Source organism: Homo sapiens, chromosome 8 (assembly GCF_000001405.40).
Source record: "Homo sapiens chromosome 8, GRCh38.p14 Primary Assembly".
NCBI lineage: Eukaryota > Metazoa > Chordata > Mammalia > Primates > Hominidae > Homo > Homo sapiens.
In genome coordinates, this window is record NC_000008.11 from 62,823,474 (window position 1) to 62,838,575 (window position 15,102).

The 15,102-nt window shown below is 35.8% G+C and overlaps 1 protein-coding gene across 4 annotated transcripts in view, besides 1 other annotated feature; it reads left to right on the forward strand.

The window, feature by feature from the left end:
* NKAIN3 (sodium/potassium transporting ATPase interacting 3) overlaps nucleotides 1–15,102 on the forward strand; it is a 750,799-nt gene that overhangs the window by 574,620 nt on the left and 161,077 nt on the right. The gene's annotated exons all lie outside the window — the stretch shown is intronic.
* Nucleotides 13,084–13,284: a silencer, noted in NCBI's record as "peak7049 fragment used in MPRA reporter construct". NCBI's record gives its function as "represses an SCP1 promoter by STARR-seq MPRAs in K562 erythroleukemia cells {active_cell/tissue: K562}" and the evidence as "EXISTENCE:reporter gene assay evidence [ECO:0000049][PMID:32103011]".

The following is a 15,102-nucleotide window of genomic DNA, read 5'->3' on the forward strand; positions in this document are numbered from 1 at the left end:
AAGTCAAATACAGTATTTATAAAATGAATTTTTTGTGTAATTAGTTTTAAAACCTAGCATCATACTAAGGCCCTCAGATTTCAACAAAAAGAAGAATGTTGCTTTGAGACGATTAAAACAGACTGATTAAGAAAGCCCTTCGTAACCTGGCACAAATCTACCTTTCCACTTCAAGACAGCCACTTTCTGTTATGCAGCTCAAGTGTAGGAGTACCTTCCACCTTTATAATCGCTGGAGATTTGTATATTTAGGGCAATAATTTTCTGACAGATGACTAAGGGCAAGGCTTTCTAGTTCTCAGAAAAGTGTCATTTGGGCTCAAGGTAGTGTCATTCAGGCTCAAGGTAGTGTCATTCCAACCTTATTCGCTATAGTATCTAAAATCAAACTCTCACACCAGTTGTCTTACATTGGATTCCATGAGAAACAAGCTCGCTGGTGGAAAGTTTCATACAAGAAATTTAATGGCATATGTGCTTGCATGAATGAACACCTGGAGGAAGTACAGGAAGTAGGATTAAGCAGAGGGGAGAACTGAACTGCTATGCAATCTTAACAAAGACATCAGGCAATTCCATGGGAACACTTGAGCTGTGATATCCCTTCAAAATTGTTCACTTTGAGGGAAGGAGATTGAGATTTTATACCCCTGCATTGACCAGCCATTGGATATGGACTCTTACAGGATAGAGGACATGACATTGGGTCAGACATTTTTCTTCAGCTGAGAGTAATTCCGTGAAAGTATCTGAGCAGTAAACTATCAACCACCAATATTCTCAATAGCTGAGAGAATGAGTACTTGGTCCCGTATGGGGAATTTGAGTGGCATGCCACTACACCTACTACACTAGCCCTACCTTTGCAGTATTCTCATTGTTTCTCCTATCCATTAATGTAACAGATATTTATTAGGTACCCAACCTACTGGATGCCAGACATCTGCTGGGTCTTGGCAACATAAATTTGAATATAAAGTGATTCTGCAGTCTAAGCGGAAAAAATACCACCTCTTCAACACACACACACACACACACACACACACACACACACACACAAATAGTGGTGAGTGCTCTAAAAATGATAGACACAACATGCTTTGGAAATGCAAAGGAGAAAATGTTTGACTTCCTGGGGAAATTTAGTCAGTCTTCATGGGAGAAACATGAGCCTAACATATGTATATTGCAATTTCCATGCTTTCTACTTGCCCTGATTGTCCTCTCCACTATATTTCACCTATTTAGAGCCTCTTCTATATGGCTCTGACCAGTTCTAACTCTACCACAAGCTTTATATCTACCACTATTTAACCCACTTTATGATCTGAGCAACCTCTGTTGTGAACTGCACTAGAATTAGCCCCTGATGCCACATGCCATTTACCTTCTCCTGGAGGTGTCATGTCACTCTATCTAAATGGCAAAACCAGCAGGACAGGGTCAACACAATACTTAAGTGAAGATTGTCATATCACAGAATGTAGAACCCAAAAAGTATTTAGAGATGATCTTGACCAAGCATGTCAAATGCAGGGGAGTGGGGCAGGCAAGAAAGGAAATTGTGATTTTCTTGAGGTATTTCAGCAAAGAAAGCAAAGATTTAAGCTTAGGACCAAGTCCATGGACCCCACCCATTGCCTTACACTATCTCTGCCAATGAATGAAACCATTCACAGGTTTAGTCTTAAAAAAAGTTTAAGGAAACTTTGAAGTATGTGTTAGAAAGTAGACTTTTTTCACCAAAGTAATAGACAAACTTTATCAAGCTGAGTGATCTTATTTATAACTCCCATGGACTATTCTGTTTTACTAGACACATTTAGGGGAAGATCAAAAGTATCTTTTATTGGAGATTCAACAAATGGTTGGGGCAAATCCATAATAAATTGTGTATGTCCAATTGAGCTACTATGGAGAAACTGAAAATATTGAAAATGTTTTTGTTCTCTCTAATCTTTATAGTCTGTTTCCAAAAATGTCCAGGTGATATAATGAGACAAAATTCACTAGTTTAGATAAACTACTGGCTTGAATGGCTTTGACAATTTGTGTATCTGCATGTGTGTGTGTTTGTCGTCTTTATGCATAGCTATATTTAAACCAGCCAAACCTACTGAGCGAAACAATGGTCCCTAAACCTGACTGACAATCAGAATTACCCAGAGGTATTTTCAAATATTCCTGAGTCCCAGTCTCTGGAGATGTGCACTGACCATGTATGATATGTGGTCTAAACAGCTACCTATGAGAGGCTCCCCAGATAATCTTCAGTGCAGCCAGGCTTAGAAATTGTATTATAAAGTATGGGGTGACAGAGCTTGGCTGCTCTGTGGTGCTGCTACAGAGGGCAGAGTGGTCCTGCCCTCTGGCTTATGGCCCCTGACTGCTGGTCAGCTTCAGGCAGCCCCACTAGTCACAGAGAGGTCTGGAGTGAGGGAAGGAAGGGCACCGCAGCAGCCATGCCGTGAAAACTGACAAACATATTTTACATGCCATGTCAATAGCATCCCTGAAGGTGAGTTCTAACAAGTGCCTCACTCTAATATAATACTTGCTCCTGGCTCAGGCCTCCTCCTCCCCTAATCATCGAGTCACGTACTCTACACCCTTCTCTGCTCATCTCTGATAATCATGTTGGAAATTGCCTAAAGAGATACTGCACTTTAATAACCTATGTTATCTTAGCCTCATTTCCTAACTTAAAAGAACAATAGATCGTTGGAAATACCATGAAGGCAATTTGAGCCATAAAGGCATAAACAAAAATAGGTATTACCATAAGAGTAACAAGTGGTGTGTGTGAGTGTTTGTGTGTGTGTGTATTCTTAAAAATCTAGTCCAAGAAAATGAACTTTATTTATTTAAATTTGCTTGAGTAAGGCCTTATGCATTTATTATGATGGCAGATCAAACCCTGCTCAAAAATGTGATCATCATCTCTACTGACTTCTATATTCTCTTTAATTCAGAATTATTAAGTTCTCTTAGGCAGTACATATTAAAATTTCCTTGGAGCAAGAGTCTCTTTTCTCTAACTGTGTTAAATAAGATTTCCCACGTAAAATATTTCTATCCATTCCATAGTAACAAGGCTGATTTTAAATGGATGAACGTAGAGAAATTGAGTTCCATTCCCTAAACACTCCATAATTACCAAATAACAGGCACTGATTGCTCCAAGACAAAAACCTGATCTCATTAGTACCTGCTGTTTGGGTAGGGAGAAGACAATTACATGTGAAGGGTACTAAGCTTTTGGAAATGCTAATTAATTATACATTATTTATTGGAAATACAATGCTCTCCTTGTACTGTAGCTAGGAAAACAGAGGAAGTGTAAGAACTTAAACAGCTGAGACATGCTGAATTGTAATGAACTATAGTCATTGTTTCAAATCTGGGATCCTTTACTGGTTTAAATACAATACCTACTCTCAAAGTCTTTTTCTTTTATCAGAACGGGCTATCAAGGTCTAAGAGTGTGGAAAGGAAATTACTCAGTTATTTGGCAGGCTTTAGCCAAACTAAGCTGGTATAGGTGGTTTAATTTTCATTTTACAAAGGTAAATAATAGATAAATAAGTAACAGTAAATAGTAAATAAACAATTTCCCAGCCCAAACCAAAAGGCTGGTATCAATAAAGAGATAGGAGCTTGGCATGTGATGGTTTCTGACAAAGTAAATTGCTTTGCATCATTGTTGTAGAATTGTACCCATGCTATAAAGTCTTTATACAGTGCTTTCCTGTTAGCTGGCATTAGTAACAAAAGACTAAGAGAGCATGGGATCTCTTTACACACGAGGCAAAGAACTGGAAGTAAGGACTTCCATTTCTCACAAGCCTAGCAATTTGCCTTCTCTGCAGTTTATATGTCAAGTGTGCCAGGGAAAAAAATAGCCTTACAGGTTAAACCGAGCAGTGTTACCTTGATTTGCTCTCATAATGTGATTTTTAATAATTATCCATCAATTCTTCCAAATATGTGGAGAGCAAATGCTAGAATGTGAAGAATACATATAGTTAACTTGAAATTTTTATGTAATTTATTATTTCACCTAAATCATCTGGCTGGCAGCATGACACATGGGCAAGAGGCAGATGACCTGTGTGTCTCTCTGACACCTGCTCCCAAGTCCATTATTATCCTCAATTCTCTATCACATGAATATGGTAGACCAGATAGAAGTCTACAAACTTAAAAATATATATATTGTGTAAATTTTAAAACAAATAAGAGTAGACAATACAGTATAATGAAGCTCTATGTATCCACCATTCAGCTTCAACCATTGGCAATACAATTTCTAATAATTAACATTAAGAAACATTAAGTTAATAAGTACTCACACATGGCTTATATGTAAATTATAAACAGTTATGTTTACATTTATGAGCTACACCAAGGTATTATGCACATTTTAGAACACAGATCATAAGTATAAAATTTTAAAACATGGAATAAAATATAATGAAGTTCTGCACATGAAAGTTCATAGCAGATTTATATGTGACAGCTGGGAGCTAGAAACCATCTAGATGTCCTTCATCAGGTGAAGAGAAAAGCCAACAGGTATATTCACACAATGCAATACTACTCAGTAGTAAAAAAAAAAAATTTAAAAAAACTATTGCTATCTATTGATATATGCAATAACATTGTAAGCAGCCAGTCTGAAAAGACAACATATTTTGTTGTTCCACTTTTTTTCACATTCTAGAAAAGATAAAACTATTGTTACATAAAATTAATCAGTGTTTGCCAGAGGTTATAGGTGGGGTAAGAATATAATTATAAAAGATTATCTGAGACAGTTCTTTGAGGTGATAAAACTGTCTTGAGCCTAGTTGTAATATGGCTATACAAATCTACACACATATTAAAATTCATAGAACTGCAAAATACATGCCAAAAAAGTCCATTTTATTGTATGATAATATACAAAAAAAGAATTAAAAAATAATCGAATTTAAATGCTTTCTCTTTACAATCACATGGTTCATTACTCACATTAATTTAAGAACCAGTAGACTAGACTACCTCTAAGTTCTCTGTTAGTGATGATCATAATCTGAAATAATGAGGTTAATATAATAAACTAGCTAAAAAAATTTTGACGCTTCTCCCATTGAGACAGGAGGAGTCAACACCCACTCTTTGAATCTGTTAGAGCTCTGTGATTGCTTTGACAAATGGAACACAGAGGAAATGTTACTATGTCTATTTGGGGAGCCAGATCTTAAGATACTAGAAGCTTCTACCTTGACATGGAACACTTACTCTTGGAACTCAGCCACCATGCTGTGAGAAAGGCCAAGCAAGCAGCTCCGTAGATAATCTCATGAAGAAAGAAACTAAGACTCCTGGCTGAGCTCCCAGCCAGCAGCTAGGACCAACTTGCCAGACATGTGAGTGAGTGAGGCTGTTGGAAGTAACTATCTAGCTCCAGTCAAACCACCCCTGCTGACGCTGCAAGGATGGAGATGAGACATCCCACCAAGCACTTTCTAAATTTCAGAATCATGATCAAAATAAATCACTGGGGTTGTTTCAAGCTGCTAAGTTTGGGGAGGTTTATTATATAGTAATAGTCAATTTGTTTGATAGATAATATAATAATAGATATGTTTGTTATATAGTAATAGATAATACAGAACTTAAACCATTCTTCAAGAAAAAGTAGGCTTCAGAGTCATGAGTTATTGCCTTAATGCAGAGGTTTTTTAGTGTGTCAACCTCAGCAACCTGAATAAGAATGATCTGAAGTGTTGTGAAAAATGCCAAACCTAATGCATCAGAATCTCTTGAATTGGGGATCCAGAAACTCAGTTTTAACAAGCTTCCCACATGGTTCTTCTGCATCCTAATGTTTGACGCCCAGCATTTCAGTCACACTGAAAAGATTAATTGAAAGTAACTGGACCCCAGGATGATGTCACACGTCACTACCACAAAAGGTAAAGAAACTTAGTGAAGAAAAAAATACCGTAAGCAAACCAGGTAGAGAGGTCCCTGAAGTGGGCTTGTTCTACAAGACAAAATAGAGCCCAGCAAAGGATAAATTCTAAATGGGCATGAAAAGTAAGAGATAATAAGATCAGGTATATTGCCGAAAATAGATATGACATAAACAGACATATCATATTAATAGGATATTTAAGTCCTGTGATTTTATGATTTTTGACAAATTAAATAAGAATGATAACATGAAGGCAAGATTAACAAGGCTAAATTTATTTTGTTGTTTGTTAACTAGATAGATAGATGATAGATAGATAGATAGATAGATAGATCTATTTAAAAGGAAAGCCATTTAAAAGCTATAACCACCTTTCTTTCTTTATGTAAATACAAACTTTTAAATTCATTAGCAATATTAATGGCTAAACTAGACTCCCATAAGGTATTCTTTTCACTTTCATCCCAAAATGAAAGAGAGAAAGAGAGAAAAGGAAAAAAAATAATTGCTACATCTGCTTCAAATTAACTTTGAAATAAAGTGGGAAATGAACAAATTGAAGACATAAACATTGTGTTCTAGTTACTAAAAAAGCAAAAGCATGCATCAAAGGAGAAGCCAGAATCCTATTGTAGATATACATATTTCAAACTCAAGAAGCTCAAAGTAGTCTCTGAAAGGTAGAAATGAAAGGGATCTAAGAGTCATGATAGAACATAGAAAATTTCTAGGTACATTTTCAGAAACCTATATTTTCTGGTTTTGTTTTCATTTTTTACCAGGGCTAAAAGTCACCTGGCTCAACATTTTCTATAGACTTTTTGTAGCCACTTATACAGTATCTATGATTCATATTTAATTATTACTGTTTTCTCCCACTAAGAAACAAAAATCCAGACTTTTCCCTTTATACTCAATATGCAGAAGTGTACTAGGATTAAACCTGGGTTGTAGTAGTAAACTCAAGAGTTGATATAAATGGTAAATAGCATTAACCAAGGGACTGAATAATAAGATAATACATGTAAACATACTTAATATAGACTCCTGCACATTATAAGGGCCCAATTAACATAATTTGCCTTAAATTTTTCTAAAGCTAAATTAATTCCTTTTGCTTTATGTTATCTCTATAAAAGTAGTTATATTTCTGAAAACCTGTCAGAAATTAAGCATAAAACTTCCACTGAGCAGCAGGGCCCTCTCCACTCCAAGCCCAGGCACTTGGACAGCTCAATCAGCAGCCTGAGCTGCCCAACCCTTCCTGTGCAGAGACTGTGGTGCAACAGGGTCCTCTATGCTCCACACCCAGGATTAGGAGTTTACCTCCCCACCACCCATGCAGAGAACTTCCAGCAGAAGAGAATTCTCACCTCCATGCCTAGACACACGTCTCAGTGCTTAGTGCCTTCTCACTGGACATCCCTTCAGCACTGATGCTTGTGCCTGCCATTGGTGGACCTGCAAGCAGGCCTGCCTGTTTCAGTCCCACCCATCTTGGACCCTCCCCACAGGGATGAGCAAGAAGCTCAGACTGCCCTATATACTCCACGTATCAGCCCATTGCTTGAGGCAGCAGAGAGAGTTTCTCTCAATAAATAATAATCAACTATCAGACCCACCTGCAGTTAACTCTTACCCATATGCGCCATCAGTTGGCCTGTAGTTTGAGTTACACAGCCCAATATAAGACCTGCTGACAGAATTGCGTAGAAGAAAAGCCAAAGACCCTACCCCAGCATTCTCTACAGTCACACCTCCTAGGAAAGTAGGGAAAGGAAAATGAAAAAATAAATAAATACAAGGGAAAAATGAAAAAAATTACAAAATTTAAAAGTGCCAGCATCCCCAGATGAGACGGAACCAGCACAAGAATTATGGCTCCATGAAAAACCTGAATGTGGTGACACCAAAGAATCACACTAGCTCTCCAGAAATCCTCCCTAAACAAAATGGAATTTCAGAAATGACATGAATAATTCAAAGCATGGATTGTAAGGATGCTCAAATGAGATCCAAGACAAGTTTGAAATCAAAACAAAGAAACTTCTAAAGCAATCCAGAAAATAAGGAACAGATACATAGCTTTAAAATAATCAATCAGAGCTTTTGGAATTGACAAACTTACTTAAGAAATTTCAAAATACAAATGAAAGTTTTATCAATAGACTAGACCAAGCAGAAGAAAGAATTTCAGAGCTTGAAGACTAGTCTTTCAAACTAACCCAGTTAGCTAAAAATAAAGAAAAAAAAATTTTAATGAGCAAGACCTTCAAGAAATATGGGATTATGTAAAGTGACCAAATCTATGAATTATTAGAATTCCTGAGAGAGGAGAATAACTTGGAAAACATATTTGAGACAATAATTCAATAAAATTTCCTTAACTCTGCTAGATGGTCAGACATCCAGATATAAGAAATCCAGAGAACATCTGTGAGATGTTATACAAAGCAAGTATTGTCAAGGCATATAGTCACCAGACTGTCCAAGGCCAACGATAAAGAACAATCTTAAAGGCAGCTTAAAAAAAGAAATATCAGACCATGTACAAAGAGAAGCCCATCAGGCTAAAAGCAGACATCTCAGTAAAAAATATACAAACCAGAAGAGATAAGAGGCCTATTTTCAGCATTCTTAGAGAAATTCCAACCAAGAATTTTATATCTCACCAAATTAAGCTTCATAAGTGAGAGAGAAATAAAATCTTTTCCATAAAAGCCATCACTAAGGAAATTCATTATCACTTTACCAGCATTATAGGAAATCCCTAAGGAAGTTCTAAACAGAAACAAAAGAACAATACCTGGTATGACCAAACAGACACACACACACACACACACACACACACACACACACACACACACACTCTTAAGTACATATCCCACAGACTCTATAAAGTTACTAATATATAGAAACTACAAACAGTGAACAACTTCACAATAGGATCAAAACCTCACATATCAATATTAACCCTGAATGTAAACTGCCTAACACCCCACTTAAAAGGCACAGAGTGGCCAGGTGGATAAAAAGCGAAAACCCATCTGTCTGCTATATTCAAGAGACCCAACTCACATGTAACAACACTCATAGGCTCAAAGTAAAAGGTTGGAGTAAACATTATCATTATAATGATATTTTATCATTATGTAATAAAACATTATTACATAATGATAAAGAATCCAATTCAACAAGATGACTTAACTATCCTAAATATATATGCACCCAATATTGGAGCACCCAGATACATAAAACAAGTACTTCTAGAGCTATGAAAAGACTTAGGCAGCCAAACAATCATAGTGAGGGACTTCAACACCTCACCATCAGCTTTAGACAGATCACTAAGGCAGATAACTGGCAAAGATATTCTGGACTTAAACTCGACACTTGGCCAATTGGACTTAAGAGAGATCTACAGAATATTTCACCCATCAACCACAGAATATACATTCTTCTCATCTACACACAAAACATACTCCATAATAGACCACATGCTCAGCCATAAAGCAAGTCTCAATAAATTCAACAAAACTTAACATACGAACCATTGTTTTGGACCAAAGTAAAATAAAAATAGCAATCAATACCAAGAAAATCTCTCAAAACTACACAATTACATGGAAATTAAACAACTTGCTCCCGAATAACTTCTGGGTAAATAATAAAATTAAGGCAGAAATGAAAAAATTCTTTGAAATAAATGAAAACAGAGACACAGCATACCAAAATCTTTGGGATGCAGCAAAAGCAGTGTTAAGAGGAAAGTTTATAGTGCAAAAAACCTACATCAAGAAGTTAGAAAGATCTCAAATTAATGATCTAACATCACACAAATACAAGAACAAAATAACCCCAAAGCTAGCAGAAGAAAATGAATAACCAAAATCAGAGCAGAACTGAACAAAATTAAGATGTACAAATCCATACAACCGATCAACAAAACCAAAAATTGGCTCTTTCAAACAATAAACAAGATTGACCACTAGCTAGATTAACAAAGAAAAAAAGAAAGAAGGTCCTAACAGGCAAAATCAGAAATGACAAAGTTGACATTACAACCAATCCCACAGAAATATACAAAAGATCATCAAAGACTATTATGAACACCTTTATGCACACAAACTAGAAAATCCAGAGGAAATGGATCAACTCCTGGAAACAAAACAACCTCCCAAGATTGTATCAGGAAGAAATTGTAATGCTGAACAGACCAATATCCAATTCCAAAATTGAATCAGTAGTAGAAAACCTACCAACAAAAAAAAAAGCCCCACATGGATTCACAGCCAAGTCCTGCAAGATGTACAAAGAAGAGCTGATACTAGTTTTAATGAAACTATTCAAAAAAATTGAGGGGGAGGGACTCCTCCCTAACTCATTTTATAAAGCCAGCATTACCCTGATACCAAAATATGGCAAAGACACCACGAAAAAAGAAAACTACAGGTCAATATTACTGAAGAACATAGACAGAAAAATACTCAACAAAATGCTAGCAAACTGAAGCTAGAAATCACATCAAAAAGTTAATTCACCATGACCAAGTGGGCTTTATTTCTGGGATGCAAGGTTGGTTCAACATATGCAAGTCAGTAAATGTGATTTACCACATAACAGAATGAAAAACAAAAATCAAATGATGATCTCAATAGATGTAGAACAGGCTTTTGGTAAAATCCAAAATGGCTTTATGATAAAAACACTCAACGAATTAGGCTTAGAAAGAACATACCTCAAAATAGTAAGAACGGTCTAAGAGAAACCCACAGCCAACATCATACTGAATGGGCAGAAGTTGGAAGCATGCCCCTTAAGAACAGGAAGAAAACAAAAATGCCCACTCTCACTACTATTATTCTACCTGGCACTGGAAGTGCTAGCCAGAGCAATCAGTCAAGAGAAATAAATAAAATGTATCCAAATAGGAAAAGAAGAATTCAAACTACTTCTCTTTGCTGACAATATGATTCTATACCTAGAAAACTTTAAAGACTCTACCCAAAGATGCCTAGAACTGACAAATGAGTTCAGTAAAGTTTTAGGATACAAAATCAATGTATGAAAACCAGTAGCACTTCTATACACCAATAACATTCAAACTGAGAGCCAAAACAAAAATGCAATTCCATTTATAATAACTACACACACACACACCACAAATACCTAGGAATACATCTAACCAAGGAAGTGAAAAGATCTCTACAAAGAGAACTATAAAACACTGTTGAAAGAAAACATAAGTGACACAAACAAATGGAAAAACATTCCATGCTCATGGATTGGAAGAATCAACATAAATAAAAAGACCATACTGCCCAAAGCAATCAATAGATTCAATGTTATTCCTATCAAATTACCAATGTCATTTTTCACAGAACCAGAAAAAACTACTCTAAAATAGTTTTTAGAGTAGTTGGCTTTAATAGCCAAGGCAATCGTAAGCAAAAAGAACAAAGCCTGAAGCATCACATTACCTGACTTTAAAATATACAATAAGGCAGCAGTAATCAAAACAGCATGGTACTGGTACAAAAACAGACAGACCAATGGAACTGAATAGAGAACCCAAAACTAAAGCCACACAAGTGCAACCATCTGACTTTGACAAAGCTTACAAAAATAAGCAATGGGAAAAGGACTCCCCTATTCAATAAATGCTGCTGGAATCACTGGCTAGCCACATTCAGAAGAATAAATTTGAATACCTACCTTTCACATATACAATACTGAAAATGGATTAAATATCTTATATGTAAGACCTTAACCTATAAAAATCTTAGAAGAAAACCTAGGAAATACCATTCTGGACATTGGCTTTAGCAAATAATTTATGACTAAGTCCTCGAAAGCAATTGCAACAAAAACAAAACTTGACAAATGGGACCTAATTAAACTAAAGAGCTTCCGCACAACAAAAGATACTATTGACGGAGTAAACAGACAACCTACAGAGCGGGAGAAAATATTAGCAAACTATGCATTCAACAAAGATCTAATATCCAGAATCTATAGGGAACTTCTTCAATTCAACAAGCAAAAAGCAATTCAACAAGCAAAAAACCAGTAATCCCATTAAAAAGTGGGCAAAGGATTTGAACAGACACTTTTTGAAAGAAGACTTAAAAGCGGCCAACAAACATATGAAAAATTGCTCAATATCATTATTCATCAGAGAAATGCAAACCAAAACCACAATGAGATACATCCTACCCTAGTCGCAATGGCTATTATTAGGAAGTCAAAAAACAACAGATGCTGGTGAGGCTGTGAAGAAAAAGAAACACTTACACCCTGCTGGTGGGAATATAAATTAGATTACCTTCCATAGAAAGTGGCTTGGAAATTTCTCACAGAACTTAGAACTACCATTTGACCCAGCAATCCCATTACTGGGTATATACCCAAAGGAAAATAAATCATTCTACCAAAAAAACACATGCACTGGTATGTTCATTGCAGTGCTATTCACAATGGCAAAGACATGGAGTCAACCTAGGCACCCATCAGTGGTGGATTGGATAAAGACAATGTGGTACATATACACCATGAAATACTATGCAGGCATTAAAAAAAAGCACAATCATGATCTTTGGAGCAACACAGATGCAGCTGGAGGCCATTATCCTAAGCGAATTAAGACTGGAATAGAAAACCAAATATTGCATGTTCTCACAAGTGGAAGCTAAACATTGGGTACACATGGACATAAATATGGAAACAGTAAACACTAACGGAATACCAGAGAGGTGATCAAGAGCTGAAAATCTACCTATTTATTGCTCTCCTCACTACCTGGGTTATGAGATCATTCATACCCCAAACCTCAGCATCATGAAATATACTCATTCAACAAACCTGCACATATACCGCCTCAATCTTAATAAAAGTTGAAATTATTTTTAAAAAAATTTCCACTCAAACCCCACATCTAACCTAAATGTTTTAGTATAACATACTAAAACATACCCTTTTATTTTAGATTTTGTATGGTGTCCTGTGACAATAAAATGTATAGGGAAGATTTCATAAATGTACTAAATATAATAGTACATTTCATCTGCAAATTTCAGAACTTTTAAAATTTCATAATGTCAGTCTGACCTTTTCTGGTTGTCTTCAAGATTCCCATTTAACAAAACCAGAAGACAAAGCAGTAGCTCCTCTTGTCAAGTAGGTAGAATTACATGGTTTTTCTGATAGCAATGACAGTAGATAACAAAGTTGCCAGCATGAGTCAGCCTGGCTGGAGCTGAGTGGAGGGCTTCTCACTGCATCATCCTGTTATGCTTTGGCTCCAATGCTCTCAATATCTTCTTGAAGTCCATGCTGGAGATGACTTTGGCAAGAACAAGTGTCCAGAGATGATTAAGAAACAGGACTTACAAGAACTTAAGCAGCATTAGGCCTAGTAAAGAGTTAAAGATGCAAATATCTGTATGAAGAGTTGAGCAGAGTAAAACCTAAACCTTTTATTAAACAAAAAAAATGAGTTTTCCTGGAAAGTTGAAGTGTGATAGGTCCATTTATTATTAAAGGGAGTAAATGCAGTTTCTGCCAAGTTCACTCACAGAGGAGACTAGACTCAGTGTCCTGCCTCTGTTTGACATTCTCACAAGATTCCACTATTTGTTTTCTAAGAAAACATTACCTAGTAGTAGTCAGCTTTTCCAGTGTTAGAACCTTGTAAATGACATTGTGTATAACGCACTGGCATTTATTTTTAATGAATGTTTTCTTCTTTCTGTCTTCTCAAACTTGCAATTTATTTAAGATGTTTGAAGTTGATTGATTCTATGTATCTTCATAGATAGGGAAGGTAACACTCTCTCCATTTCAGTTAAAGCATTCCTTCATGATTCTTTTAAATCAGTGATGAATGATTTAATAATGATCACAACTGCTGAACCATAGTTTGGAAATTCAGTAACATAGAGGCGGAGGAAACGCCCTTATAGTTGGTATCGGGAAACACAAAGAATTATTTTCCTACATCTGAAAATTCCAGTAAGGTTTTAGAGTTATCTTAAAGTAATTTTTAATTGTTCTGTGAAAACTTTTTATTCTTCACATGAAAACAATGTGTAAGGCATTGTATTAGAGTGCCCACACATCGTGCCAGTTCTGATGACCACAGCATGGTATTTCTATTTCAACTCTGTAGCTGAATATTTCCCATTTCCCATCTGTCTGCTGATTTGTAACAGAATAATTATTTTATAGCTAGTAGATTTGACAAAATGAGATGCAATGTCAAATAATTTTCACACTTTTTTCTAAATGCAATATGCTTTGGGGTTACTGAGGAACAAAAGATTCTGAATTAATTCACTTTGTCGCTGATGACAAAAACAACTAGAATTTGCAAAGGTGATTTATCTTAATTAAACATGAGTTAACATATCTCCCCACCAAAACAAATCCTATCATAGGAAGCTGCAATATGCTTGGGGGCTTGATATCCAGAGAGACTTCAAATTTACTTGAAATTGCATTAGTTGTATAGTCTGGGTTTATTATGTGCAAGGTACGTCCTAATGCTGATAAGAATGATAAAAGTAAGGATAAACTCTTTTAATGCGTAAAAACTTAGGAAAACAAAATGTATAGAGAGGAAGTACTTAAGTCCTAGGACGTAGAAGTGTGCAAAGGTGTGTGTGTGTGTGTATCTCACTCTGAACAATACCGCTCTGTGTGTGTGTGTGTGTGTGTGTATATAAAATGAGCATATCATGAAATATACTCAAGCATATTGCAGCTTCCTATGATAGGATTCCTTTTGGTGGGGAGATATATTAACTCATGTTTAATTAAGAGAAATCATGTTTGCAAATTCTAATTATTTTCATCATCAGAGGCAAAGTGAATTTTATATATATACATATATATATACACACACACATATATACACACATACACACATATATATTGTTCAAAGTGCTTCACTGAACACCAGAGGAGTTAGGTGGGACATTTAGAAGAGAGATTTGTACATTTGGTGAAACTTTAATTAAAAATGGAAGATGCAAACAAGTAAAATTGTGTAGCTAGAATAACTCTCAAATTATCTTATAATTGTCTTAATTGATGTGTAAATGTTATTCTGCTCCCATGTATGTCTACATAAGTTTCTGCCA